The 27156-nt window shown below is 38.9% G+C and overlaps 2 protein-coding genes across 13 annotated transcripts in view, besides 1 other annotated feature; one reads left to right on the forward strand and one right to left on the reverse strand.

Moving 5' to 3' along the window:
- Positions 1-27156, forward strand: part of KLHL2 (kelch like family member 2) — a 115596-nt gene that overhangs the window by 56308 nt on the left and 32132 nt on the right. The window lies entirely within an intron of this gene.
- GK3 (glycerol kinase 3) lies at positions 13939-15836 on the reverse strand. The gene has a single exon (NM_001395953.1). It carries the CDS (start codon positions 15775-15777, stop codon positions 14116-14118), a length of 1662 nt encoding a protein of 553 aa, NP_001382882.1. The 5' UTR covers positions 15778-15836; the 3' UTR covers positions 13939-14115.
- Positions 16219-16720: an enhancer, noted in NCBI's record as "H3K4me1 hESC enhancer chr4:166201239-166201740 (GRCh37/hg19 assembly coordinates)". NCBI's record gives its function as "activates a minimal SCP1, AML or CMV promoter by ChIP-STARR-seq in primed H9 embryonic stem cells {active_cell/tissue: H9 hESC(primed)}" and the evidence as "EXISTENCE:reporter gene assay evidence [ECO:0000049][PMID:30033119]".

The following is a 27156-nucleotide window of genomic DNA, read 5'->3' on the forward strand; positions in this document are numbered from 1 at the left end:
AAAGCAGTGAAATATAGATACATTTGGTGGAGTAGAAAAGTAGACCAATAGAAGCAGCCCACTCCTTGCATGCTGGTTCCATGGCCTACTGCTACTGCTGGCATTTCCCTGTGGCAGAGGGAGGGCCTGTTGCTGTTTTCAAGGAGCCCTTGCTTTAGCTGCTCTTCAGGCCCTTCAGACCCCTCATCTCTGCAGTTGGGGAGGAGACATTGTTATAGCTTTGAATGCACACACATAGTTCACAAATGTAATCTATATTTTATTTGAGTTTATAAACAAAAATATATATTAAAAGTGATTATTAGGAAATTTCTTTTTTTAGTTTATGCTTTCATTTAATGATTACATCCTTTTTTTTTTATTCTAATAGCTTTAGGAGTACAAGTGGTTTTTGGTTACATGAATGACTTGTATAGTCACGAGGTCTGGGATTTTAATGTACCCGTCACCTGAGTAGTAGACATTGTACTCTAATCGGTAGTTTTTCATCCATCACCATCCTCTCAACCTCCCCACTTCTGAGTCTCCCATGTCCATTATACCACTCTGTCTGCCTTTGCATACTGATAGCTTAGCTCCCACTTATAAGTGTGAATATGTAGTATTTGGTTTTCCATTCCTGAGTTACTTAACTTAGAATAATGGCCTCCGGTTTCATCCAAGTTGCTGCAAAAGACATTATTTCTTTCTTTTTTTATGGCAGAGTAGTATTCCATCATATATATATATATATATATACACACACACACGTACGTATATACACGTATATATGTACACACATGTATATACATATATGTCTACATACGTATATGTATGTGTGTGTGTGTGTGTGTGTGTATATATATATATATACATATATATATATATATATGTATATATATATATATATATATATATAAAACATTATCCACTCATTGGCTGATGGGCACTTAGGTTGATTCCATATCTTTGCAATTGTGAATTGTACTGTGATAAACATACACATCTGGGTGTCTTTTTGATTTAATGATTTCTTTTCCTTTAGGTAGATACTCGGTAGTGAAATTGCTGGATTGGATTTTAATTTCTTTGAGGAATCTCCAGACTGTTTTCCATAGAGGTTGTACGAATTTACATTCCCACCAGCAGCATATAAGCGTTCCCGTTTCACCACATCCACACCAACATCTATTGTTTTTTCACTTTTAATAATAGCTATTCTGGTTAGGGCAAGGTGGTATCTCGCTGAGGTTTTAATTTGCATTTTCCTGATGATTAGTGATGTTCAGCATTTCTTTCATGTTTGTTGACCATTTGTATATCTTCTTTTTAAGAAATATCTGTTCATGTCATTTGCCCACTGTTTAATGGGATTATTTGATTTTTTCTTGCTGACTTGTTTGAGTTCCTTTTAGATTCTGGATATTAGTCCTTTGTCAGAGGCATATTTTGCAAATATTTCCTCCCATTCTATAGGTTGTGTGTTTACTCTGGTGATTATTTCTTTGGTCTTGTGGAAGTTTTTTTTGTTTAATTAGGTCCCATTTATTTATTTTTGTGTTTGTCACATTTGCATTTGGGGTCTTTGTCATAAATTTTTTGTTTCGGCCAATGCCCAGAAGTTTTTCCTAAGTTTTCTTCTAGAATTTTGATGGTTTCAGGTCTTAGATTTAAGTCTTTAATCCATCTTGGGTTAATTTTTATATATGGTGAGAGATAGGGATCTCTCACCATATATAAAACGTGTACACGAGCACAACGTGATGGTTTCCAGCTTCATCCATGTCCCTGCAAAGGACACGAACTCATCCTTTTTTAATGGTTACATAGTATTCCATGGTGTATATGTGCCACATTTTCTTAATCCAGTCTATCATTGATGGACATTGGGAGGTTCCAAGTCTTTGCTATTGTGAATAGTGTCGCAATAAACATGTGTGCGTGTGTCTTTATAGTAGTATGATATATAATGCTTTGGGTATATACCCAGTAATGGGATTGCTGGGTCAAATGGTATTTGTAGTTTTAGATCCTTGAGGAATTGCCACACTGTCTTCCACGATGGTTGAACTAATTTACACTCCCACCAACAGTGTAAAAGCATTCCTATTTCTCCACATCCTATCCAGCACCTGTTGTTTTCTGACTTTTTAATGATCGCCATTCTAACTGGCCTGAGATGGTATCTCACTGTGGTTTTGATTTGCATTTCTCTGATGACCAGTGATCATGAGCATTTTTTATATGTCTGTTGGCTGCATAAATGTCTTCTTTTGAGAAGTGTCTGTTTATATCCTTTGTCCACTTTTTGATGGGGTTGTTTGTTTTTTTCTTGTAAATTTGTTTAAGTTCTTTGTAGAGTCTGGATATTAGCCCTTTGTCAGATGGGTAGTTTGCAAATATTTTCTCCCATTCTGTAAGTTGCCTCTTCACTCTGATGATAGTTTCTTTTGCTGTGCAGAAGCTCTTTAGTTTAATTAGATCCCATTTGTCAATTTTGGCTTTTGTTGCCATTGCTTTTGGTGTTTTAGTCATGATGTCTTTGCCCATGCCTATGTCCTGAATGGTATTGCCTAGGTTTTCTTCTGGGGTTTTTATGGTTTTAGGTCTAACATTTAAGTCTTTAACTCATCTTGAGTTAATTTTTTATATGGTGTAAGGAAGGGATCCAGTTTCAGCTTTCTGCATATGGCTAGCCTGTTTTCCCAGCACCATTTATTAAATAGGGAGTCCTTTCCCCATTGCTGGTTTTTGTCAAGTTTGTCAAAGATCAGATGGTTTTAGAGGTGTGGTGTTATTTCTGAGGCCTCTGTTCTGTTCCATTGGTCTATATCTCTGTTTTGGTACCAGTACCATGCTGTTTTGGTTACTGTAGCCTTGTAGTATACTTTGAAGTCAGGTAGCGTGATGCCTCCAGCTTTGTTCTTTTTGCTTAAGATTGTCTTGGCTATGTGGGCTCTTTTTTGTTTCCATATGAAATTTAAAGTAGTTTTTTCCAATTCTGTGAAGAAAGTCAGTGGTAGCCTGATGGGGATAGCATTGAATCTATAAATTACCTTGGGCAGTATGGCCATTTTCAAGATATTGATTCTTCCTATCCATGAGCATGGAATGTTCTTCCATTTGTTTGTGTCCTCTTTTATTTTTTTGAGCAGTGGTTTGTAGTTCTCCTTGAAGAGGTCCTTCATATCCCTTGTAAGTTGTATTCCTAGGTATTTTATTCTCTTTTTAGCAATTGTGAATGGGAGTTTGCTCATGATTTGGCTCTCTATTATTGGTGTATAGGAATGCTTGTGATTTTTGCACATTGATTTTGTATCCTGAGACTTTGCTGAAGTTGCTTATCAGCTTAAGGATATTTTGGGCTGAGACAATGGGGTTTCTAAATATACAATCATGTTATCTGCAAACAGAGATAATTTGACTTCCTCTCTTCCTAACTGAATACCCTTTATTTCTGTCTCTTGCCTGATTGCCCTAGCCAGAACTTCCAACACTATGTGGAATAGGAGTGGTGAGAGAGGGCATCCTTGTCCTGTGCTGGTTTTCAAAGGGAACGCTTCCAGTTTTTGCCCATTCAGTATGATATTGGCTGTGGGTTTGTCATAAATAGCTCTTAGTATTTTGAGATACGTTCCATCAATACCTAGTTTATTGAGAGTTTTTAGCATGAAGGGCTGTTGAATTTTGTCAAAGGCCTTTTCTGCATCTATTGGGATAATCATGTGGTTTTTGTCATTGGTTCTGTTTATGTGATGGATTACGTTTATATATTTGCGTGCATTGAACCAGCCTTGCATCCCAGGGATGAAGCTGACTTGATCATGGTGGATAAGCTTTTTGATGTGCTGCTGGATTTGGTTTGTCAGTATTTTATTGAGGATTTTTGCATCGATGTTCATCAGGGATATTGGCCTAAAATTCTCTTTTTTTGTTGTTTCTCTGCCAGCCTTTGGTATCAGTATGATGCTGGCCTCATAAATGAGTTAGGGAGGATTCCCTCTTTTTATATTGATTGGAATAGTTTCAGAAGGAATGGTATCAGCTCCTCTTTGTACCTCTGTTAGAATTTGGCTGTGAATCCATCTGGTCCTGGACTTTTTTTGGTTAATAGGCTATTAATGATTGCCTCAATTTCAGAACCTGTTACTGGTCTATTCAGAGATTCAGCTTCTTCCTGGTTTAGTCTTGGGAGGGTGTATGTGTCCAGGAATTTATCCATTTCTTCTAGATTTTCTAGTTTATTTGCATAGAGGAATTTATAGTATTCTCTCATGGTAGTTTGTATTGCTGTGGGATTGGTGGTGATATCCCCGTTATCATTTTTTTATTGCATCTATTTGATTCTTCTCTCTTTTCTTCTTTATTAGTCTTGCTAGCAGTCTATCAATTTTGTGGATTTTTTTAAAAAACCACCTCCTGGATTCATTGATTTTTTGAAGGGTTTTTTGTGTCTCTGTCTCCTTCAGTTCTGCTCTGATCTTAGTTATTTCTTGTCTTCTGCTAGCTTTTGAATGTGTTTGCTCTTGCTTCTCTAGTTCTTTTAATTGTGATGTTAGGGTGTTGATTTTAGATCTTTTCTGCTTTCTCTTGTGGGCATTTAGCACTGTAAATTTCCCGCTACACACTGCTTTAAATGTGTCCCAGAGATTCTGGTACATTCTGTCTTCGTTTTCAGTGACTTCAAAGAACATCTTTATTTCTGCCTTCATTTCGTTGTGTACCCAGTAGTCATTCAGGAGCAGGTTGTTCAGTTTCCATGTAGCTGTGTGGTTTTGAGTGAATTTCTTAATCCTGAGTTCTAATTTGATTGCACTGTGGTCTGAGAGACAGTTTGTTGTGATTTCTGTTCTTCTACATTTGCTGAGGAGTGCTTTACTTCCAATTATGTGGTCAATTTTAGAATAAGTGCAATGTGGTGCTGAGAAGAATGTATATTCTGTTGATTTGGGGTGGAGAGTTCTGTAGATGTCTATTAGGTCTGCTTGGTCCAGAGCTGAGTTCAAGTCCTGGATATCCTTGTTATTAACCTTCTGTCTCGTTGATCTGTCTAATATTGACAGTGGGGTGTTAAAGTCTCCCATTATTATTGTGTGGGAGTCTAAGTCTCTTTTTAGGTCTCTAAGGACTTGCTTTATGAATCTGGGTGCTTCTGTATTGGGTACATATTAGGAATGTTAGCTATTCTTGTTGAATTGATCCCTTTACCATTATGTAATGGCCTTCTTTGTCTCTTTTGATCTTTGTTGGTTTAAAGTCTGTTTTATCAGAGACTAGATTGCAACCCCTGCTTTTTTTTTGTTTTCCATTTGCTTGGTAGATCTTCCTCCATCCCTTTATTTTGAGCCTGTGTGTGTCTTTGCATGTGAGATGGGTCTCGTGAATGCAGCACACTGATGGGTCTTGACTCTTTATCCAATTTACCAGCCTGTGTCTTTTAACTGGGGCATTTAGCCCATTTACATTTAAGGTTAATATTGTTATGTTTGAATTTGATCCTGTCATTATGATGTTAGCTGGTTATTTTGCCTGTTAATTGATGCAGTTTCTTCATAGCATCCATGGTCTTTACAATTTGGCATGTTTTTGCAGTGGCTGGTACCGGTTATTCCTTTCCATGTTTAGTGCTTCCTTCAGGAGCTCTCTTGTAAGGCAGGCCTGGTGGTGACAAATTCTCTCGGCATTTGCTTGTCTGTAAAGGATTTTATTTCTCCTTTACTTATGAAGCTGAGTTTGGCTGGATATGAAATTCTGGGTTGAAAATCCTTTTCTTTAAGAATGTCGAATATTGGCTCCACTCTTTCCTGGCTTGTAGGGTTTCTGCCAAGAAATCTGCTGTTAGTCTGATGAGCTTCCCTTTGTGGGTAACCCGACCTTTCTCTCTGGCTGCCCTTAACATTTTTTCCTTCATTTCAACCTTGGTGAATCTGACAATTATGTGTCTTGGGGTTGCTCTTCTTGAGGATTATCTTTGTCTTTGTGGTGTTCTCTATATTTCCTGAATTTGAATGTTGGCCTGCCTTGCTAGGTTAGGGAAGTTCTCCTGGATAATATCCTGAAGAGTGTTTTCTAACTTGGTTCCATTCTCCCCATAACTCTCCGGTACACCAATCAAACGTATATTTGGTCTTTATCCATAATCACATATTTCTTGGAGGCTTTGTTCATTTCTTTTCACTCTTTTTTCTCTAATCTTGTCTTCTTGCTTTATTTCATTAATTTGATCTTCAATCAGTGATATCCTTTCTTCCACTTGGTCGAATCGGCTATTGACGCTTGTGCATGAGTCACAAAGTTCTCTTGCTGTGGTTTTCAGCTCCATCAGGTCATTTAAGGTCTTCTCTACACTGTTTATTCTAGTTAGCCATTCGTCTAACCTTTTTTCAAGGTTTTTAGCTTTCTTGTGATGGGTTAGAACGTGCTCCTTTAGCTCAGAGAAGTTTGTTATTACCAGCCTTCTGAAGCCTACTTCTGTCAATTTGGCAAACTCATTCTCCATCCAGTTTTGTTCCCTTGCTGCCGAGGAGCTGCGATCCTTTGAAGGAGAAGAGATGCTCTGGTTTTTGGAATTTTCACCTTTTCTGCTCTGGTTTCTCCCCATCTTTGTGGTTTTAACTACCTTTTGTCTTTGATGTTGGGGACCTGCAGATGGGGTTTTGGTGTGGATGTCCTTTTTGTTGATGCTGATGCCATTCCTTTCTGTTTGTTAGTTTTTCTTCCAACAGGCCCCTCAGCTGCAGGTCTGTTGGAGTTTGCTGGAGGTCCACTTCAGACCCTGTTTGCCTGGGTATCACCAGCAGAGGCTGCAGAACAGCAGATATTGCTGCCTGATCCTCCCTCTGGAAGCTTCATCCCAGAGGGGCACCCACCTGTTTGAGGTGTCTGTCATCCCCTACTGGGAGGTGTCTCCCAGTCAGGCTACACAGAGGTCAGGGACCCACTTGAGGAGGCAGTTTGTCCCTTCTCGGAGCTCAAACGCCATGCTGAGAGAACCACTGCTCTCTTCAGAGATGTCAAACAGGGACATTTAAGTCTGCAGAAGCGGTCTGCTGCCTTTTGTTCTCCCCAGTTTATGTTTTTGTATGCTTTGTCGAAGATCAGTTGTTTGTAAATATTTACTTTATTTCTGGGTTCTCTATTCTGTTCCATTGGTCTACATATCTACTTATATGCCAGTGCCATACTGTTCTGGTTATGATACCCTTATATTAGTATAATTTGAAGTCAGGTAATGTCATGCCTCTAGATTTGTTCTTTTTGCTTAGGATTACATTGGCTATTTGGGCCTTTTTAAAAAAATTCCATATGCATTTTAGGATTTTTTTTTTATAATTCTGTGAAGAGTGATGGCATTTTGATAGGAATTGCATTGACTCTGTAGATTGCTTTGGACAGTATGGTCATTTTCATGGTGTTGATTCTTCTAGTCTGTGAACATGGGATGTATTTCCATTTGTTTGTATCATCTATGATTTCTTTAAGCAGTGTTTTGTAGTTCTCCTTGTAGAGTTCTTCACCTCCTTGGTTAAATATATTCCTAAGTATTTTATTTTATTTTGTAGCTATTATAAAAGGGATTGAGTTCTTAATTTGATTCTCAGCTTGGTCATTGTTCGTGTGTAGCAGTGCTACTGATTTATGTACATTGATTTTGTAACCTGAGGCTTTACTGAATTCATTTATCAAAGCTAGGCGCCTTTTGGAGGAGTCTTTAGGGCTTTCTAGGTATAAGATCATATCATCAGCAAACAGAGATAGTTTGACTTTCTCTTTTCCAATTTGGATGCCCTTTATTTCTTTCTTTTGCCTGATTACTCTGTCTGGGACTTACGGAAGTTGCTAATTTGTTTTTAAACTATATTTCTGGAAGATAAATCTGGTAGAAGTTACAATCCACCAACTGCCTGCAAGACTCTGCTTTGCATCTATGAGACTCAATAGGAATAGTTCCTGTGGAAGCTTCTGTGTTCACTGCTCCTTTAATAGGCTCTAGAACTGTAACTTCCCCAGATTTCAAATGCAGGAGCCTTTTGTCTAAACTGCTTCAGTGTGCTTACTCTGATGAGTAAGGAAGCTTTTGGTACATAGATGTGGGTAAGGGAGAATGCATGTGTGTATATATATGTGTGTCTCTGCCTGCACAGAGCATTGGAGAGTAGTAGTCCTAGAATCCGTATTTCATTTACCAAATAAATAATGGTTCAAAGTGGTTAGTTGAAAAAACAAAAACCACAGTGCTTCACTAAATCACAGTAGGTCCAATAAATTTAGACCTTATTGATTTCTATTGGGTGGCCTGATGGCCTAACTGCCCTTTAGAAAATTATTTCAGTGAAAAAATGTGATCTGAGTTCTAGGAAGCCGATTTACAGATGAGCTTTTAGAACACAACCCTTCTGTAAGTTGGGGAATGCCTGTAGTGTGTAGCACTATTCATGCAGCACTTTTGAATAGAATGAAGCATTTTATGAAAAACCAAAGACAAATATGAATTTATTGGTGTATTCCAATGCAAGCAATTCTGTTCAACTAAGTAGAAAATATTACTTCTAAATTCAGATTCCATTAACTGCTAGACTTAATGCACCTGTTATAAGTGACTTCTATTAGGAAAACCAAGAAAGCTTTTGTATTTTTAGATATTTTTTGCTGCATGAAACAATCACTATTTAACCTTTTATCTTTCCTGGGCTGCCAGTTTTCTCTATAGTGATTGATAAATGTTACTGACTGCTAATGGGGAGAGGAGGGTCAGTGCCTGGGGAGAGAATGAATAAAGTAGGATTAATGCACAGGATATCCAAACATAGTTCATATGATGTACTAGAACTCTTAGTTTTGCTTATATCAGAAGCAACTCATTTACTGTGTTTTTAGGAGATCATTAGATTTTTAAAAATCTTTCTCTTATTTAAAATCTTAAATTTATTCTAGTATACTACAAAATATAAAAAATTTTCCACCAGAATTAGAACACTTCTGTTTCTTAGTTTGTAGAATCCTCCTTTGTAATTATGCCAAGAATTTTTCATGAAAAATTATTCACTTTCAGTAAAATTATAAAGAAGCATTGATTCTTCATTTTTAATGCACTATATTTTGCATCTGAATCTAGCTTTAAAGGATGTACTGCTTTTATACCATGCTTCTGAATCTTGTATTTGCTTGAGTTTCTTAGGTTTTAGGTAACATTTTAAAACATCTTTCATTATGAAAAATTGCAAGCATGTACAAGAATAGAATAGTACTCATGATCCAACTTCAACAGTTGTCAACTCAGGGACAATTTTGTTTTAATTATAACCTTCGTTACTCCCCTTCCCTTTTTTTTATATGCAAACATTTTACTGAAGTCTAATGTACGTATAGAAAAGTACACAAATCATGTCTACAGCTTGAGGAATTTTATACATCCTCTTGTATTATCTTGAAGCAATTGTCATGCTTTACCTATGTATTTCATCCTTATATTTTAAACAAATGCCATTACAAAGACCATGCTTGTATAATGAAGTTATTTCCATATCTTTGGTGTATTGATAACTAGTTGTAATAAACTTTCCAAAATAATCCAGAATAATACTATAAAACAGTTTGATATGGTTTGGCTATGTCCCCACCCAGATCTCATCTTGAATTCCCATGTGTGGTGGGAAGGACCCAGTGGGAAGTAGTTGAATCATGGGGGGCAGGTCTTTCCTTTGCTGTTCTTGTGATAGTAAGTCTCACAAGATCTGATGGTTTTAAAAATGGGAGTTTCCCTGCACAAGCTCTCTCTCTTTGCCTGCTGCCATCCGTGTAAGACATGACTTGCTCCTCCTTGCCTTCCACCATCATTGTAAGGCCTCCCCAGCCATGTGGAACTATAAGTCCATTAAACCTCTTCCTTTTGTAAATTGCCTAGTCTTGCATATGTCTTTATCAGCAGCATGAAAACAGACTAATACGCAATTGTTCCTCATAGTGAAACTATCTGATTGTTCTTGACATTTTAAGCAAATAGGAAGTGGGGAGATAAGGAGTCCATGCAGTAAGATGTCTATAGCTCCTTTTCTACCATAAACAAATAATTGTTGTTTAGGTGATTTGTCTTTAAAGCACTCTATTTGTCCAGAAAATTTACCCAAACCTTCAAATTACTTTCAAGTCAAATCACATAGCTTGTGAAGAACTCCAAGAGGGTGACAGGACACAGTGGCAGTAAAGTTAATATTTTTCTTTTTCTTTTTCTTTTTCTTTTTCTTTTCCCTATCATAGGCAGTAGGACTTGTGACAGGCTTTTCTAGGTAGGAAAGAAAAGAAGGAAGGGAAGAAATAAATAGCAATAGATGACTCAATACATACATACATATATACATGTAAAGCAGAAGGGAGGAGAAAGAAGCTGAGGGAAAAAAGGATGGATAAGGAGAGAAAGCCTGCAGGACCTCGGGGTATTGTCTGGTCCATGGTGTGACTGCACATAAGAAGAGCACTCTCGGGCTGGGCGCAGTGGCTCATGCCTGTAATCCCAGCACTTTGGGAGGCCGAGGCAGGCAGATCATGAGGTCATGAGATCGAGACCATCCTGGCTAACATGGTGAAACCCTGTCTCTACTAAAAATACAAACAATTAGCCAGGCGTGGTTGCAGGAGCCTGTAGTCCCAGCTATTTGGGAGGCTGAGGCAGGTGAATGGCCTGAACCCGGGAGGCGGAGCTTGCAGTGAGCAGAGATCTCTCCACTGCACTCCAGCCTGGGTGACAGAGTGAGACTACGTCTCAAAAAAAAAAAAAAAAATGGAAGAGCACTCTCTATCCTTTGAAAACTCACTGGAGATTCTGGACGTAAGAACTGCTTCATTTCTTTCTCTTGCCCATTGGAAACAAGCTTTCTAGAATACATTATAATTAAATTAAATTGTACAGGTATAATGAAAAAATTAACAGTGTTCCATGGAGATCTCTTCCATGAACTCCTGCTTATTTTTAATAACATCAGTATCTTTAGGGAAAGTAAAAATGTGAGCAACCAAATGGGTAGGTTAGAGAGTGAGAGCAGGGGAGGATGTGGAATCCACGCTGCTCACCCCGAGATGCTCTCGTGGCTTCAGCAGCGTGGCACTGGCAGTGACAGCCTGTCGCACTGACCACCCTGCTTCTCCAAGGCGTGGAGTGACAGCTCAGTGTGACCAGACCGCCCAGGTTAAATGGCCTATGTGCTGAGGCATGGTGTTCTGGACTATGGTCAGCCTTCGTTACACTCCTGAAAGATTTATTTTATTTTATTTTATTTTATTTTATTTTATTTTATTTTAGCTTAAAAAGCTGTATGAAATTATTTTTTGTATCATGTCTAAAAATGAAATTTTTCTCAGTTAACCCCAAGTGTACTAACTTATTCAGAGAGTGCTGGTTTGTGGACTCTTCTCATGTTTGTTGGGTGGTATCTATATTTTAACCATTTCTCAAATCATTAGCACCTTTATTTTTAGCATTTTTTGCAGGCCAAAAATATAGAGGAGATAAAAATTGAACTCATTGGTTTAGATGCATTTTAATAGTTCTAGCAAAAGACTCTTTGGAAATTGGATTTTAATTATAACTTGAAATATGAATTTTATTCAGTATTTCTTATTGATAGCCAAGCACATTTAAGGGGACAAAAATTGTTTCAGATTTTTAGTCATTCCTATACCTCACCACTTCCCATACTGAAAATTTGAGAAACTACTTAGTACTAGTTCTAACTGATCTTTGGGGAAGTTTGTGGTATCATTTTCTTTTTCTTTTTTAAAATAGAGACGGGCTCTTGCTGTGTTGCCCAGGCTGTGCTCGAACTCCTGGCCTTAAGCAGTCCTCCTGCCTTGGCTTCCCAGAGTCGGGATTACAGGCATGAGCTACCACACCCAGCCTGACTACCATTTTCAAGCTAGAGCTGTAGCTGAAATTCTGGGCTTGGTAAGCACTCAGCATTCCTCAGTAACAGGACTACCTGTGGAGAATTCCTTCAGAGCTGGGCATGGTGGCCCACACCTGCAATCCCAGCACTTTGGGAGGCTGAGATGGGCAGATTGCTTGAGGCCTGGAGTTTGAGACCAGCCTGGCCAACATGGTAAAACCAGGTCTCTACTAAAAATACCAAAAAAAAAAAAGAGCCAGGCATGGTGGCATGTGCTTGTAGTCCCAGCTATTTGGGAGGCTGAGGCAGGCGAATAACATTAACTCAGGAGGCAGAGGTTGCAATGAGCTGAGATCACACCACTGCACTGTAGCCTGGGCAACAGAGAGACTCCATCTCAACAATAACAACAACAAAAAAGAAGTCCTCCAGTTACTGATATGCTTTCATTTTATTTTCCATTCTTTGGCTCTTAACTCTGTTATTAGTTTATATATCCCAGGCCCCGGCGGTAGTAACTACTTTACCCAGGCCTGTTCAGGCACCCCTCACTGTCCAGCTTCTGTCCTTTCCACTAGGCCTATAAAATGATCAAACTTTTTTATATGCGCAAGTATTTTCATGTGTGTCCCCTCTGTCTTTGTCATAAATGAAACTTTGTGTTTCCCCCAAACCTGTATGTCGTGAGCAGACTTCTCGAAGGGATCACTCCCCACAGCCCACTGGGAACCTAGGTAGAAGGGTACCACTTCCAGACCATTGCTCTCACTGCCATCAGCCTAACTTTTTTTTTTTTCACTGTTTATTACAAAACAAAGTAATTTTAAGATATTTTTAAAGATTGACGTTAAGAAGCTAGATTAGGTGACTTCTTATAATATGTGACATTAAATATTTTGAGAAATTCTTGGTTTCCTTGGAAGGCATTTATAATGATAAACCTTTTTTCAGTTATAATAAGATACTAAGCAGAGATAATTTTGTCATCCCAGATAGCAATTTCTTATTCACAATTGATAACATTTGAACTGAAAGAGATTCCTGGCTTTATTTCTATATTTTTTTCTACTTAGGTATTTAACTTTTTTGACATCCTCTTATCCCCTCAATAGGATCCAAAATATGTCTAAAATTAATTCAAAAGAAAACTATTTGAATTATTGCTTGTGTTTGAAAACAGTATTTACTGTAGTATTCCACAGTTTCTTCTTTTTTTAGGCTAAGACAATTAAATAAAAATGTAAGGGATAAGAAATATAGTTGAAGTCACAATAAAGTATATTTTCTTTTATGGACATAAAACATAAATTTTAAATGTTGGCTGTTTAAGAAAAAAATTCTGGTAGATATTATGCATAACCATTGCCCAAAAATGTATACAGCTGTTTTCCAACATATTGATATACATAGTGGTTCACTTAAGACCAGCCCTGTTAGAACCTTCTGAATATAATGTGCTCTTAATTTATAAATGGGCTACCCTCAGTGTATAAAATATATAGGCATATATGTTATACATACAAAGTAAAAAATATAAAAAGGAAAGATGGAAGAAAAAAGAAAGTATCCTTTCCTATAAGATCTAGACAGAAAGTCATTATAATTAATGGGACCATGGAAAATATTGGAAGGATTTCAGTTTTGGCAAATACTTTTCAGAAAAATATCCAAGCTATGAGAACACTAAATGTCTATTTTAATAATTTAGTAGATATTTCTATTCAAACATTCAGTAAAGGTGTTTCCGTCTTCTACTATGTAGAAAAGAAGACTTTTGGGGTATCTGTTAAAAGCGAAGAGCTGCTCATTTTTAACAGGTTAGTAATAACCTTTTAATCAAGTATATGTCATGCAAAGACTCAAGTCCTGTTCCAGTAGTGTTTGAGTATGTTTGATGGAAGATTCCAATGGTGAGGATCTGAATTCTTCGTACATCTTAGAGGGAATGGAGCAGGATGTTATGGCAATGGAGGGGGTCAGCCCCAAAGGTAGCTGGCCCAACCTTAACTGTGGATGTTAAAAACACACACACACACACACACACACACACACACACACACCAAATATTTCTATAGCATTCTTTTTGCTGCATTTTCTTTATTTTAAGCCACAGGTCTACTTGGAGGGTCACGCAGCAAGTGGCTTATAAATAAAATCAAAGTCTATGAATAGTGTCATCGCATTAAGAGACAATTGCTGGGTTGTTCTTTCATTATGTAAAAAGCTCGCATCTTGGGAATCCATGAGTTGGTAGGTTTTATGGAATACCTGAGATGTACCTTGCTCCGATTAACATTGCCATGCTACTCACTATAAAAAAGCCCAAGGGCAGACTACAGAAGACACTAGGGTCACCACCTTCTGGAGATTGAGTTGTAACCCAACCCATTGACTTCATCACAGCTTTCTTCCATGTAGAATAACGAATTTCACTTTCCTCAGCATTAATCTGAGGTTCAAACCGCTCCATCGTGACGGCGGACAAATCCTCAGGTTCAAGACTCCATACGTCGACTCCTTCTGCAGCCCCTGCCGCCATGGCAGCACCCAGTGCAGTGGTTTCGGGCATCAAGGGCTTCACTACTGGAATATACAGAATGTCTGCTTGTAGCTGCATAAGAATTTTGTTGCTGGTCATTCCTCCATCAACCTGCAAATGACTGAGTGGAATTCCACAGTCTCGATTCATGGCATCCAAAATCTCTCGAGTTTGGAAACAAACAGCTTCTAATGCAGCAAAAGCAATATGGCATTTATTCGTGAATTGAGTGAGTCCACAGATTATCCCTCTTGCGCTGGGCTCCCAATAAGGTGCATATAACCCCGAAAATGCTGGGACGAAGTAGCAGCCATAAGAAGTACCTACTTCTTTAGCAAGTTTTTCAATTTCTTCTGAGGTCTTTATAATTCCAAGATTGTCTCTTAGCCAGCGAATAACAGCACCAGCTATAGCTACAGAACCTTCCAAAGCGTAATATACCGGTTTGTCTCTGCCAAGTTTGTAAGCCACTGTGGTGAGAAGGCCATGATCAGAAAATACACACTTATGGCCTGTATTACATAGTAAGAAACATCCTGTTCCATACGTATTTTTGGCTTGTCCAATCTGGAAGCACATTTGTCCCACCAGTGCAGCAGACTGGTCCCCTAAACACCCAGATATTGGCACACCTTCCAAGGCCCCCGCTTTCATTAGGCCATAGATCTCAGAAGAACTCCGAACATGTGGAAGAATTTCCATTGGAATTCCAAAAAATTCACAGAGTTGTTTATCCCATTCCAAAGAATGAATGTTGAAAAGCATAGTCCTACTTGCATTTGTTACATCTGTACAGTGGACACCTCCATTGACGCCTCCTGTCAAACTCCAAATAAGCCATGAATCAATAGTCCCAAAAAGAGCTCGTTTTTCTTCAACGGCCTTTTGAACTTTTCTCACATTGTCGAGGAGCCAGCGAAGTTTCACTGCACTGAAGTAAGTGCTAAGTGGAAGGCCTGTCTTGGACTTGACAAAGTTATTATTTCCTGGAATTCTTTTACTAAGACTCTCAACGGTAGACTGTGTTCTTAGATCAAGCCACACCACAGCATTGTAGAGAGGCTCTCCAGTTATCTTGTCCCAGACTACGGTGGTTTCCCTCTGGTTGCTGACACCAATAGCTTTTATGTTGGAAATACCAATATTGAGCTGTCCAAGTTTCTCACATGTTTTCTCTATACACTCATAGACAGAATGTAGAATTTCCTTAGGGTCCTGTTCCACCCATCCTTCTCTTGGGAACTCTTGTTTTATTTCCACTTGATGATGACTAAGTAGTTCAGCTGTTCTTGAATTGAAAACCAAAAAGCGCGTGGAACTGGTGCCTTGGTCCACTGCCCCCACCAATGGCCCCAAAACTGCCTTCTTTGAGGCTGCCATGAAACCAGCTTCAGGTCCGCCCGCGTTTGCGGCCGGTTTCCTGGGTGACGGCGGCGGGAGGGGGAGGGGAGGGTGACGAGTCCAAAGAGCGAGGCCGCGCGAGTCCGCTGAACTAGCCTCACTTCTTTACTGGCTGGCTAGCAGGCTACTGCGTTCTCTCTGCAGCTCATTTTCTGTCTTGGCCTCCAGGCATACATCTGTCTTTAACACTGAGATTATCTTTCCCTGCGTATTTTGTTTCTCCTGCCATAAACGCCTTCAGAATCTATACTGTTGGCTCACGTGAGACTCCTTCATAGCTCCCTGTGACTATCATCTTCCCCCCACAAACCCATTCATCACCTTAGACTGCAGTTCCAGGGTCTGTTGGACCTTTCTGGTATTTAGAACTCTGGGGTCCCTACCTTGGTTCGGACTAGATGTGTGCCTTCTCATTCTCTTGTATTTCTTCATAAATCTGTGCTCTTTGGCCCTTGTTCTTCCAGCCAACTCTTGGCCGTTCAGCCTAGACCCAGTAGTCAGTCATTTCAAAGCTATCCTCTTTATGTGCCTGGCATTGCCCACACTGTTGTGGGTGATAGATAATAGGCTCAGTACAATTTAACCCTTGCTTATAATCTAACTTTATAGTCCAGTAACAATAAACTCACACCCTAATTAAGTATATTTGGAATATGCATTATTCTCTGTAAGACCAGTTTTTATAACAGTTTCTTCTACAGAAAATTTCTTCAATCATTTGCCCACCTTTCTGTAATTTAGGCTAGGAATCACTGCTTGGAATAAACATCGGTTAGAATAAGCTCATGATTTGAATGCCACCCTCTTGAAAGAAATTGTGTTGAGTGAGTGGTTTTAATAATCGTATTGCTAGCCTTAGCCATGGGATATGCATGCCAAAGAATAGATGCTGATTATTCAAGGGTCTATTGCAGTGTTAATTTACTGATACAGAAGATTCTTCCTTTGGAGAACTGTGAAAGCACTTGATACACAGCACTTTTTAGCTGAAGTCATGCCAACTCAAATGATGCTTCTTAAAAGAGTTAATTATTTGTATATTCATGCATTCATTATGGTCCTCTTTATTCCTTAGTAAACTACATGCAGTCTCTGCTATGCCTTGTTGACAGGAATTTTTTCTAGCTTACATGAGTTAACTGTTTTCAGGTTTCATTAAAACTGCCTTATGTTAATAGAACTTCTGGAGACATACATGGTTTTTTTCTCCTAAAGATTAATAGTGTTGAAAGTCAAAGAATCACAGAGTATTAATGTTATAGGAAATCTTAGCAGTTATCTAGTCTAACACTTTCATTTTATTAATTAGGAAAATGAAGACCAGAGATATTTCTGTTTTCCCAAAAACACTTTGTCTGTTAGGGATGAGCTGCTTGTGGATCTCAGAGACTATTGTTATTCATACTTTTGCCCTCACTATTCAAATGGGACTTTGCATTGAGTATAGAGGAATTGTGGAGACCCATCATGGCATTTTAATTTTGTTCAAAAAGGTGCTTGGTGTTTAGAAATCAAATACAAAGGGTACTTTGTACCTTATTACAGGATACAAAACAGAACAAATAACACTTGAGACTTATATTGTTGATTTTATTACACTTATTTGGGATGAGGGTCCTAACCTGATGCTCTCTCTCTCTCTCTTTTTTTTTTTTTCATTTTTTATTGAGATGGAGTCTCGCTCTGTCACCCAGGCTGGAGTGCAGTGGTGCGATCTCGGCTCACTGTGAGCACTGCCTCCCGGGTTCACGCCATTCTCCTGCCTCAGCCTCCCTAGTAGCTGGGACTACAGGTGCCTGCCACCTCGCCTGGCTAATTTTTTGTATTTTTAGTAGAGATAGGGGTTCACTGTGTTAGCCAGGATGGTCTCGATCTCCTGACCTCGTGATCCACCCGCCTCAGCCTCCCAAAGTGCTAGGATTACAGGCGTGAGCCACCGTGCCCAGCCCTGATGCTCTCTCTTGACCTGGTATGGCAAATTCTAGGGACTGTCTTTCATTTCATGATTAGCTTATTTTATTTCCTAGAGGGAAACAGAAAAGTTCAATTGCTTTAGAGAGTAATGAGCATATATGTTCATTATAGAAGGAATGGAATGTATATTCCACATACATATATGGAAGGATTCATATGTATATTATATATTATGTGTGTGTAGTTTATGTGTTTAACGTATATAGCATATTGATGGCATAGTCTTTACTACTTGGAATTGTGCCCTATTGCAGTTATGGTATTTGTTTAGAGATAAGCAACTGATGATTAAATGTCAGTATAACTATGTTGGGCTTTATTCAGTGGCCAGTGGTGAACTACTGAAGGTAAATTACTAATGTCACAAGCTATGATCCATAAACAAAATGACCTGTCAGTATGTGGGTGATAGGTTTGGAAGCAATAATTGAGGTTGGTAATAGCGTTAGAACTAGGGCAATGAACACAGAGGGGAGGTGAATGAAGCAAGATCATAGATATGGGAACTAACTCTGAGTATAAGTAGAGGAAACAGATTAAACTCTGAGATGACCTGCCTTTGAGCATTACATTTTAGGTAAATTCTTTGTAGGTACATTTTAGTGTGTGCATATTTACAGCAAGTGTGCAGTAACTGTTGATTTTTACTGTACCTTACTGAGATACAGTAGGATGAAAAAGAATTCATTCACTGAAACGGAAGAATTTTTCACTTTGGCTGTGTTGTGTTAGGCTTATATTAACCAAACTGATGCAAAGATGTTAGGCTTTTAGTTGATGGTATATTCAGTGGGAACCAATTATGTATTCGTGTCCAGAAAGGTGTAAGGTGATTATCCTGTTCTGTTCTGTCCAGATCAGACCATAGCTGTGAAATTGAGTTTATTTTTCGGTTCAGTGTTTTGAGAAAGACTGATGCACTAGAGCCCTGAATTTATAGTCAGGGTGATGATGAAGACCCCAAATCATGTTGTGCAAGCAGTGGTTGAAGGACATAGGACTGTACAGACCATTGAAGGATAATTTGGGAAAATATAATGCTCTCTGTAAGATTTTGAGGAATTTCATAAGAGACAGATTAATCTTGTTCAGTTTATTGTGGTGGCAGAATTATCAGTGTTGCAAAATAAGAGTGAAAAAGATTTTAGAGCAACGTACAGAAGAACTTCTAATAGTAAGTGTTTGTATTAGTCCATTTCCATGCTGCTGATAAAGACATATCCGAGACTGGGCAATTTACAAAAGAAAGAGGTTTATTGGACTTAACAGTTCCACATGGCTGGGGAGACCTCACAATCATGGTGAAAGGCAAGGAGGAGCAAGTCATATCTTATGTGGATGGCAGCAGGCAAAGAGAGCTTGTACAAGGAAGCTCCCATTTTTAAAACCATCAGATCTCATGATACCTATTCACTATCACGAGAACAGCATGGGAAAGACCCATCCCCATAATTCAGTTGTCTTCCACTGGGTCCCTCCCACAACACATGGGAATTATGGGAGCTGCAAGATGAGATTTTGTGGAGACACAGAACCAAACTATATCATTCCACCTCTGGCCCCTCCCAAATCTCATATCCTCACATTTCAAAACCAATTATGCCTTCCCAACAGTCCCCCAAAGTCTTAACTTATTTCAGCATTAACTCAGAGGTGCACAGTCCAAAGTCTCATCCCAGACAAGTCAAGTCCCTTTCGCCTATGAGCCTGTAAAATCAAAGGCAAGTTAGTTACTTCTTAGATACAATGGGGATACAAGCATTGGGTAAATACAGCCATTCCAAATGGGAGAAATTGGCCAAAACAAAGGGGCTACTGGCCCCATGCAAGTCTGAAATCCAGTGGGGCAGTCAAATCTTAAAGCTCCAGAATGATCTCCTTTGACTGCATGTCTCACATCCAGGTGACACTGATGCAAGATGTAGGTTCCCACAGTCTTGGGCAGCTCCTACCTCCTGGCTGCCTTCAGGGGCTGGTGTTGAGTGTCTATGGCTTTTCCAGGCACATGGTGCAGGCTATCAGTGATACCATTCTGGGTTCTGGAGGATGGTGGCCCTCTTCTCACAGCTCCACTAGGCAGTACCCCAGTAGGGATTCTGTGTGGGGACTCTGACCCCACATTTCTCTTCTGCACTGCCCTAGCAGAGGTTCCCCATGAGGACCCCGCCCCTGCAGCAAACTTCTGCCTGGGCATACAGGCATTTTCATACATCTGAAATCGAGGTGGAGGTTACCAAACCTCAATTCTTGACTTCTGTGTACTCACAGGCTCAACACCACGTGGAAGCTGCCAAGGCTTGAGGCTTGCACCCTTGGAGGCCACGGCCTGAGCTCTATGTTGGCCCCTTTCAGCCACGGCTGGAGTGGCTGGGACACAGGGCACCGTGTCCTTAGGCTGCACACAGCACAGGGACCCTGGGCTCAGCCTATGAAACCACTTTTTCCTCCTAGGCCTCTGGGCCTGTGATGGAAGGGGCTGCTGCAAAGGTCTCTGACATGCCCTGGAGACATTTTCCCCATTGTCTTGGTGATTAACAGTCAGTTCCTTGTAACTTATGCAAATTTCTGCAGCTGTCTTGAATTTTGCCTGAGAAAATGGGATTTTCTTTTCTATTGTATTGTCAGGCTGCAAATTTTCCAAACTTTTATGCTCTGTTTCCCTTTCGAAACTGAATGCCTTTAACAGTACCCAAGTCACCTCTTGAATGCTTTGCTTAGAAATTTCTTCCACTAGATACCCTAAATCATCTCTCTCAAGTTCAAAGTTCCACAGTTCTCTAGGGCAGGGACAAAATGCCGCCAGTCTCTTTGCTAAAACATAACAAGAGTCACCTTTGCTTCATTTCCCAACAAGTTTCTCATCTCCATATGACACCATCTCGGCGTGGATTTCATTGTCCATATCATTATCAGCATTTTTGTCAAAGCCATTCAACAAATCTCTAGGGACTTCTAAACTTTCTCACATTTTTCTGTCATCTTCTTCTGAGCTCTCCAAACTGTTCCAACCTCTGCCTGTTACTCAGTTCCAAAGTCGCTTCCGCATTTCTGGGTATCTTTTCTGCAGCACCCCACTTTACTGGTACCAATTTACTGTACTGGTTCATTTTCACACTGCTGATAAAGACATATCTGAGACTCGGCAATTTACAAAAGAAAGGTTTATTGGACTTAACAGTTCCACATGGCTGGGGAGGCCTCACAATCATGGTGGAATGTAAGGAGAAGCAAGTCACATCCTACATGGATGGCAGCAGGCAAACAGAGCTTGTGCAAGGAAACTCCCATTTTTAAAACCGTCAGATCTCGTGAGACTCATTCACTATCATGAGAACAGCATGAGAAAGACCTGCCCACATAATTCAATCATCTCCCACCAGGTCCCTCCCACAACACATGGGAATTATGGGAGTTACAAGATGAGATTTGGATGGGGACACAGAGCCAAACCTTATCAGTGTTCAAGGATGATATGACTGTCTTGCCATCTGTTGATGTGTGTAAACTACAGCCAGATAACCATTTATTGTGAAAATTTTTGAGGTTACGAATACATATTATAGAAGCTGTGTCAGGTGACCTTTCAGATCTCTTATACCATTAAATCTTATGATTTTTATGGCATTACTGAGAAAGAATTAACAGGGTTTATGAAATAATTCACATTAGGGGTTAAAAAAGAGTGGGATGATGAGGGAAAGGGTAGTTACTTAATGAATTTCATATTTGCAAGATGAAAATGTTAGATCTTTTTCATAACAGTGTGAATATACTACTTTTTTTGAGATGGAGTTTCGTTCTTGTTCCCTAGGCTAGAGTGCAGTGGTGCAATCTAGGCTCACTGCAACCTCTGCCTCCTGGGTTCAAGCAATTCTCCTGCCTCAGCCTCCCAAGTAGCTGGGATTACAGGTTCCCGCCACCATTCCTGGCTAATTTTTGTATTTTTAGTAGAGACGGGGTTTCATCATGTTGGCCAGGCTGGTATCGAACTTTTGACCTCAGGTGTTCCACCTGCCTCGGCCTCCCAAAGTGCTGGGATTACAGGCATGAGCCGCCATGCCTGGCCCAGTGTGGATATACTTAACACTGTTAAACTTTACACTTAAAAATGGTTACGGTGGTAAATTTTATGTTTTTAATCACATAATAGAGGGAGGGAGGCAAAAATGACTGTGACTAAGACTTCATTCATCCTTGGAATCAGAGTGAAGCCATTAGGATACAAAGGGAACACGGGAGGTCCAGCAGGTGTCTGGAGGAGGTCACTGAAACGGTTTGAAACGTAGGTATATCCTCATCTTGTTTGCTTGAGGGAGAGCCAGCAGTGAAGTGCAGTATCAATTTAAAGGTTCTCAGATTGGGCAAGATGTTTAACAGTAGCCAAAGACAGCTTGGCCAGAGGAAGAACTTGATTTATGTTGAGAGGAATATCAACAGACATTAGAGAATCTTTATCAAAGTATCAGGCCAAAGAGTGAAGCATAGCATCAGTGGAAAAATGCACAATGATGAAAAGTCAGACCACAGAGCTCAAAACAGGCCAAGGTAAGTGGCCCAAGGTAGTAATTAATCTGAAGGTTTTAGAGGACTGCTTGTATGTGGTACTGGTTTCATGGTGTATGGGTGGCTCTGTCTTGTTTAAAAGAGCCATGATGATTAGATCATATTCATATGGAGACTAACAGACAGCTAGAAATTCAAACATTGGGGTTTGGGGGGAGAGGTTGGATCTGGGAGCAACAATATTAGGGTAATAAAGATAACTGTGGACAGTAATATACATTAGATAGTTAAGACAGAACAAGTGGAGAATCAAAAGGAGGCTGAAGGCAGGCAGGACCATAGTAATACCTAGTTTTAGGGAGGTAAAGGAGGCAGATTCAGTGGTCAGAAAGGTAGAAACATATATAGAATCCTAACCAGTAGAGAAGGCCATTAAGCTTAAAATCAGCAGAGAGGTTGAGAAGGACCAATGCCAAGAAAAAGACTTCCAAAGAACTATTTCAAGGTAAAATTGAGCCAGAGGCTATGCCATAACATAAAGATGTGAGTGTGCATCAGCACGCAGAGGCTTCAGAATTGAGATCTGCTCTTGAGAAGTCTGGTGTGGAGGCTGACAAGGTAGGACAGCAGCCAAACATAGGGATGTTAACCCAGTGATCTTTCTTTTTTAGCAGAGCAGGTATTTGTCCACTGAAGTCAAGACAGTGACATGCATTGACTGTCTATAGCAACACTTCCTTTCTCACTGGGGAAGGAAAGTAGTTGGATCTAGTTGCTTGCTTTGTTTTTATTTTTGTTTTTTAATTTTCATCACCAGTGTTTTCAAATGGTTATAAACTTTTAAAAATATTTGTGTTAAGGAACATATAACATGAAATTTACCACCTTAGCCATTTTAAGTGTTCCACTCAGTAGTGTCATGTATAAGTACTTGCTTTATTGTGAAACAGATCTCTAGAACGTCTTCATTTTGCAAAACTGAAACTCTGTACCTTTTAAACAACTCGTCTTTTCTACTTTCCGCTGTCCCTGGCAAGTATTATTATACTTCCTGTTTCTATAAATTTGACTCCTTTAGATACCTCATATTAGTGGAATCATACAGTATTTTTTTATTTTTGTGACTGGCTCACTACACTTAGCATAATGTTCTCAAGCTTCATCCATGTTGCATTGTGACAGGATTTCCTTCCTTTTTAAGGAATTGTATGTATATATAGTGTATGTATATACCAATTTCATTTATCCATTCATTAATCAGTGGATACCTGCTTCTGCCTCTTGCTATTGTGAGTCATGCTTCTGTGAACATGGGTGTACAAATATGTCTTCAAGACCCTGCTTTCCATTCTTCTGGATATATACACAGAAGTGGGATTGTTGGATCATATGGTAGTTCTACTTTTAATTTTTCGAGTAACCTCCATGCTTTTTTTTATAATAGTTGCATTATTTTATAATCTTACCAACAGTGCACAAGGTTTCTAGTATCTTAACATCTTTGCCAACAATTGTTATTTTCTGGTTTGTTTGTTTGTTTGCTAGTAGCCACCCTAATGGGTGTGGGGTAATATCTCATTGTGGTTTTGAGTTGTATTTTCTCTGATGATTAGTTATGTTGAACATCTATCATCTATTCATACGCTTATTGGCAATTTGTATATCGTCTTTGGAGAAACGTTTATTCCAGTCCTTTGCTCATTTTTAAATTGGGTTATTTGATTTTTGTTGTTGTTGAGTTGTAGGAGATATTTTTATATTCTGGATATTAACTCTTTGTCAGATACATGACTTGCAAATATTTTCTTCTCTTCTACAGGTTGCCTTTTTTCTTTATTGTGTCCTTTGATGCACTGAACTTTTAACTTTGATGTAGTCCCATTTGTCTTCGTTGCCTGAGCTTTTGGTGTCATTTCCAAGAAATTATTGACAAATCCAGTGTCACGAAACTTTCCCCCCTGTGTTTACTTCTAGGAATTTTATAGTTTTGAGTCTTACATTTAGATCCTTAGTCCATTTTGAATTAATTTTTGTGTATGGCGTATATGATCCACCTTCATTCTTTTCTATGTGGATGTCTAGTTTTCCTAGCACAATTTGTTGAAGAGATTGTTCTTTTCCCATTGAGTGGTCTTGGCACTCTTGTCAAAGATCATTTTACCATATACATGAGGATTTAAAAATATTTGAACGGTATACATTGAAAGAGTCATCCTTTCACCCTTGTTCCTCATTTCTCTCCCCTCTAAAGATAATCACTATTATTAGTTTCTCGGTTTTGTTTTGTTTTCTTGCATGGAGAGGATAAGTAATCCATTCACATGGTTCATAGAACAAACAATCTAGCCACTGAAAAAATGCATTCTCACATCTGTCGTTCTTCCTTTCTAAGCTGACAGTATTTCCTAAAGCTTTTTTCATATCATGAGCTTCCTTGTTCATTTTTACAGATGCAGAATATTCCATTGTATGGATATACTATGTTTTAAACTAGTGTCTACTGATGAACTCTCTTTTGTAGTTGTTAAAAGCAGTGCTACAGTGAATAACTCAGAGTGTGTCATTTCATGAGTGGTCAAGTATATTTGTAGGATGAGATTTCAAAATTGCTCTCTGTAAAGATTGTGCTGATTTATACTCCCACCAGCAGTATGAAATAGCATACTGTTTCATAATAGGGTTGTTGCTTTTTTTTTTTTTTTTAACTTTGATCCTCATGGTTTTGTGGCTTGAGGCCAGGGAAGGAATGTTCATGTTACATCATTTTTATTAGTACTAGTGGTAATATAAGAGCATTTAATGTCATGAACTAAGCACCAGACAGACTAATAGTGATTGGCATCAAGAACATATAAAATAACAGGTGAGCTGCACTAGGCTTCTTGCCTTTCTTCCTATAGAATTTTCCATGCATGCCTTAGAGTGACTTTGCCAGTCATCTAGTGCTTCCTGACTGTGTAAAGTGTTGGGTCCTTAGGAAGTGTGTTACAAGCAACAATCTCATTAAATTGCCTATCAGTAAATACTGTAGAACACTTGAAGAAATATACAGTTAATATAAATAGAAGAAAGGCAGGCCCTAAAGTAAACTAATTTACTCCAGATGTTGCCAAATAGTGCCCTCTATATTTTAGTAATGCTCCATATATGTTAACCACATCCTTTCCAAAGAAAGCTCAGTATAAGAATGTAAACATTAGATATCAATACTTAAAAATTTTTCTAAGGAGGAGGGATTGTTCCAATAGAAAATAAAAGTATTTGAGAATTAGAATTATTTAAAAACATGTATATGTACACAATGAAAGTTACTTTTAATTTGAACATTTCTTCTTCACTTTTCCTTTAGGCTAATTTTTGGTTTGGTTTTTTTTTTTTTTTTTTTTTGGTAAGTGGTGAAGGGGTGGTGTTTGAGTGACAGCTGTGTTATGGTTTTGTCAATAAAGTTGTAATAGTTGACTATTTTCCTTGCCCTCTTAACCTTCTTTGATACACTAGGAAAGAATACACAATGAATTTAGATCCCAGACTTGGTTTTGGATAGAGTTTACTAATGCCCTTCTACATTTATGTAATTGCTGACTTTTAAAAAATCACCACCAAGTTGGCTTTTTAGCAAGTCCATTTTTTTCTGGTCAGTGAAGCAGAGACTAAGATAACATGTAGTCACAGTATGGAAAAGTTCTCTCAGTTATGTTTGTTACCACTGGAGAGTTCTTTCCCCTCATGAAAAGCATAAGGCGGCCAGCAATCTCTTGCTTTGATTCAGATTTAAAATATACAGAAGAAACTTAACCCAAAATCACTGTAGACATACATTTGAAGGTGAAAATATTTTTATAATGGATAGAAAGAGATTTATGTTAGCTTCTCTTTTGTTCAGTGGCTGCTGTGTTTTCTGTTTGAATTTCCAAGTTGGTATTCATAAATGTTTCTAAATTTATATGCTGTTTGCCAGCTTTTCATTAAAATGAATTTATTTCTCAATATTTTAGAGCTCTTTTTTTATTTGTTTTTTTTTGAGACAGGGTCTCACTCTGTCAGGCAGGAGTATAGTGGCACGATCATGGCTCACTGTAGCCTTGACCTCCTGGGCACAGGTGATCTTCCTACCTTAGTCTCCCAAGTAGTTGGGACTACAAACATGCACCACCATGCCCAGCTAATTTTTTGTAGAGATGGTGTTTTACTATGTTGGCCAGGCTGGTCTTGAACCCCTGGACTCAAGTGACCCACCCTCCTCAGCCTCCCAAGATTCTGGGATTACAGGCGTGAGCCACTGCGCCTGGCCTACTTTGGAACTTTTAATATAAAGAACCTTGTTTTTTGTTTGTTTGTTTGTTTAAATATGTTCAGTCTTTAAAAAACAAACTCAACTATTGAAAAAGTTTTCCCTTTTTTCTTAGTGTATAAAGAAAACTTCCTTAGTGTATAATTTTTTTATATAAACTTCTGGTAAAGTCAGGAATTAGCGGGATTATATTTTAGATATAGAAGGTACTTTTGCAATTAATCATGATGGCTTTTTAAAATCTATAATCCAGCTGGGTGTGATGGCTCATGCCTGTAATCCCAGCACTTTGGGAGGCTGAGCCTGGAGGTTCACCTGAGTCAGGAGTTCGAGACCAGCCTAGCCAACATGGTGAAACCCCGTCTCTACCAAAAATACAAAAATTAGCTAGATGAGGTGGCAGGTGCCTGTAATCCCAGCTACTCAGAAGGCTGAGTCAGGAGAATCGCTTGAACCCAGGGGGTGGAGTTTGTTTGATTTTGGAAGAAACTGCCAAACTGATTTCCTACCAGCAGTGAATGAAAGTTCCTGTCATTCCACATCCTTGTCAGAATTGGTGTTGTCAGTGTTTTGGATTTTAGCTATTCTGA

The sequence above is a fragment of the Homo sapiens genome, chromosome 4 (genome assembly GCF_000001405.40).
Source record: "Homo sapiens chromosome 4, GRCh38.p14 Primary Assembly".
Lineage (NCBI taxonomy): Eukaryota > Metazoa > Chordata > Mammalia > Primates > Hominidae > Homo > Homo sapiens.

Excerpts from the sequence above, each read along its gene's own strand:
- GK3 (NM_001395953.1), bottom strand. The coding sequence starts at position 15,777 with ATGGCAGCCTCAAAGAAGGCAGTTTTGGGGCCATTGGTGGGGGCAGTG.